The sequence below is a fragment of the Homo sapiens genome, chromosome 13, assembly GCF_000001405.40.
Source record: "Homo sapiens chromosome 13, GRCh38.p14 Primary Assembly".
NCBI classification, from domain to species: Eukaryota; Metazoa; Chordata; class Mammalia; order Primates; family Hominidae; genus Homo; species Homo sapiens.
In genome coordinates this window covers 106,035,613-106,039,430 of record NC_000013.11, presented here as the reverse complement: position 1 = coordinate 106,039,430, position 3,818 = coordinate 106,035,613, and the positions used below count along the sequence as shown (strand labels likewise).

At 44.7% G+C, this 3,818-nt stretch overlaps 1 annotated feature.

Moving 5' to 3' along the window:
• Window positions 2,390-2,891: an enhancer, noted in NCBI's record as "H3K27ac hESC enhancer chr13:106688889-106689390 (GRCh37/hg19 assembly coordinates)". NCBI's record gives its function as "activates a minimal SCP1, AML or CMV promoter by ChIP-STARR-seq in primed H9 embryonic stem cells {active_cell/tissue: H9 hESC(primed)}" and the evidence as "EXISTENCE:reporter gene assay evidence [ECO:0000049][PMID:30033119]".

The window sequence follows — 3,818 nt, the reverse complement described above, 5'->3', positions numbered from 1 at the left end:
TTTGAGGCACGTAGATGACACGGTCTTGGGGCAGAGATAGCTGTCATCTTTTTTTTTTTTTTTTGAGTGTCCAACATTCAAATTCCTGACTGATATGGCTTGACTCTGTGCCCCCCACCGAAATCTCACCTTGAATTGTAATAATCCCATGTGTTGTGGGATGAACCCAGTGGGAGGTAATTGAATATCGGGGGCAGGTCTTATCCCGTGCCATTCTTGTGATAGTGAATAAGTTTCATGTGATCTGATGGTTTTATAAAGAGCCATTCTCCTGCAGAAGCTCTCTTATCTGTCACTGTGTAAGACGTAACTTTGCTGTTCCTTCGTCTTCCACCATGATTGTGATGCCTCCCCAGTCATGTGGAACTGTGAGTCCATTAAATCTCTTCCCTTTATGAATCACCCAGTTTTGGGTATGTCTTTATTAGCAGTATGAGAATGCAATAATACACTGACCATGTTCCAGTAATTCTCCACTTTATGAGTCATAGTGTGGGTAAAAAATACCTCCCCCAGAGGAATTGATCCTACTACATCCCCAGCCTTCCTTGCTGCCACAGCTCTGGACTCTGTGAATCAGATTCACCAACTCTAGACATTTACTCAGGAGCTGGAGGTCCAAGAGGGGAGAGTTGGGGAGCTCTTGCTCTGGGTGGGGATCAGAGGTTGTATTAGTTCATTCACACACTGCTGTAAAGAACTGTCTGAGACTGGGTGATTTATAAACAAGAGAAGTTTAATTGAATCACAGTTCTGCATGGCTCTGGAGGCCTCAGGAAACTTACAATGTGGCGGAAGGTGAAGGAAAAGCAAGGCGGGTCTTACATGGTGGCAGGGGAGAGAGAGTGTGGGGAAACTGCCACTTTTAAAACCATCACATCTCATGAGAACTCACTCATTATCATGAGAACAGCATGGGGGAAACTGCCTGCATGATCTAATCACCTCCCACCAGGTCCCACCCTCAACATGTGGGGATTACAATTTGAGATGAGATTTGGGTGGGGACACAGAGCAAAATCATATCAGCCATCATTGTGGCTACAGGGTTACTTTGTGGGTACAGAAGGTACAGTGGTGTTGGTGGTGGTTGCAGTAAACTTTGAGCCCTGAGGCAGCAGGGACAATGGAGAAAGGGTGTGATATTCCACCAACCCAGCTGTATGGCTGGTTTGGGGTATTGCTCCTGGCAGCTTAGCTTTAAGTCTGGTTCCCCAGCCATCTTGATAATTTGGTGAGCTTCCCCAAAACTTTTTTCTTTTTGGAATTGTATTGTTATTTTATTTTAAGTTCTGGGGCACATGTACAGGATGTCCAGGTTTGTTAAATAGGTAAACGTGTGCCATGGCGTTTGTTACACCTATCCACCCTTCACCTAAGTATCAAGCCCAGCATGCATTAGCTATCTTTGCTGATGCTTTCCCCATCCCACCCTCCCCCCACAGGCCCCAGTGTGTGTCGTTCCCCTCCCTGTGTTCATGTGTTCTCATTCTTCAGCTCCCACTTATAAGCGAGAACATTCAGTGTTTGGTTTTCTGTTCCTGCGTTAGTTTACTGAAGATAATGGCTTCAAGCTCCCTTCACATCCCTGCAAAGGACATGATCTCATTCATTTTTATGGCTTCATAGTATTCCATGGTGTATACGTGCCACATTTTCTTTATCCATTCTATCACTGATGGGCATTTGGGTTAATTCCATATCTTTGGTATTGTGAATAGTGCTGCGATGAACATATGTGTGCATGTATCTTTGTAATAGAATGATTTATATTCCTTCCCCAAATTGTTTTTTAAAAAAATTTTTTAGCTTAATCAATCAAAGTCTGCTTCTGCTCTTTGCTACTAAGAACTTTGTCTATCATAGATGGGGCTGGGCGTGGTGACTCACACCTGTAATCCTAGCAATTTGGGACACTGACATGGGAGGAACACTTGAGCTTGGGAGTTTGAGACCAGCCTAGGCAACATGGAGGGAAGGATCCGAGCCCATTGCTGGGCGCTTGCTGATGCAGGTGTGGTCTGCAGGCTGCCAGGCCTGCTCTGAAATCAGGGCTGGGGAAGGGTGGACCAGTGGAACAGTAGGAGCTGTAGAAGGGCAGCTGTCCTTAGAGAAAGGGAGAAGGTAGCAGAGTCTGGTTGGGGTAGGGGAAGCAAGCAGGGGATGAAGTTTTCCAGAAGAGTTTGAGGGCATAGGAAAGCTTGCTGATTATAGAGCAAGGGCCAGAAATGACACAGTAAAAGAGAGGGCGATATGGGGCAGTGCACGGTGCTGGAGCCCTGTCCTTAGGAAACTGTCCTGAGTGAGATGGGAGAGCCACCAGCAGCTGGGTGGCCCTTGCCAGGCTTCTCCACTGGAGGGTGCCCCTGATTCCTGAGTCCCTCCACTGACCGAGGCCTAGGGGACAGTGATTCCTCTTTGCAGGCCCCGCTTGCTGCAGCCTGAAGCCTGCGGAATGGAGCCAGCACTGCCAGCATGGCCAGCACGTTCATCTTTGCCTTCCCAATGGACTGTTGCTCTGTCCCTGCTGGGAGAGCCTGGGAAGGGGTTCATCTTGCAGCTCTAGCTTGTCTCTTCCTGCCCTTGCCTTCCTTGGGTGTTCTGGTTTATTCCAGAGAGGAGGACCGTCCCAACGAGGGACAGTGAGCGCTTGGCTGCTTTTCCCATCATGGTTGCTGCTCCACCACGAGGGGCCCTCTTCCGTGGGCACATCTCTCCACCATCCTTGAACTCAGACTTCCTCCATTTCGGAGGGAAACTCAGCCTGAAAAACCTAATACGTGAACATTTTTTCCCGCTCCGTGAATTGTATTCTAGCTGCAGACAACTCACTGACTTGTGGAACACCCAGGCCCATGTGAGGAAGTGTAATTTTTGTTTCAAAACAAAACTAGCTACAACTTTGTTTATTTTAAAATAGTACAACATTCATAGCAATATGTAAACAGTATGGAATATTTGTTTAGTTTAGTTTATACCTGTATGACAGTCAGGCTTTTACCTTATTTTTGCTTTTTGTTTTGTTTTGTTTTGAGACAGAGTCTTGCTCTGTTGCCCAGTCTGGAGTGCAGTGGTGCAATCTCGGCTCACTGCAACCTCTGCCTGCCAGGTTCAAGCAAAGTGATTCTCCTGTCTCACCCTCCCAAGTAGCTGATATTACAGGCACGTGCCACCACACCCGGCTAATATATTTTTCTTTCTTTCTTTCTTTTTTTTAGTAGAGATGGGGTTTCACCATGTTGGCCAGGCTGGTCTCAAACTCCTGACCTCAAGTGATCCATCCATGTCAGCCTGCCAAAGTGCAGGGATTACAGGCACGAGCCACCACCCTTGGCCCTGGGACATTATTTTAAAAGTTAATTAAATATCATTTGAACTACCACCTTAATTGGGTGTGGATTCCACCATGTCTTTGACAGTCATTATTCTAAATGTTAGTCTAGCTGTAAATAATTTTACAGAAACAGCAGCATTAAATTCTTGATTATTTTGTAATTTTATTTTCTATTAACAATTGATACTTTACATTTAAATAAATATATATTACACAATGAATTTTAACACGTATAAATATATTTTTTGACCAATTACCCAATGGTAGAACTCTATTGTCTTCATTTTTTAGCGTTTAACGTAACACTCTGATGCATACCCTTGTATATATATCCTTAAGAAGTTTCCTAATTTTTAAGTTAGAGATTGTGCGTCTAAAACATTTGTCTATATGTGACTTTCAGGGAGGTTGAGCAATTTATACTTCAACTTACATAGATGTTGCTTTTCTCACACATTAATACTGGTCAATATTTTACCTATTT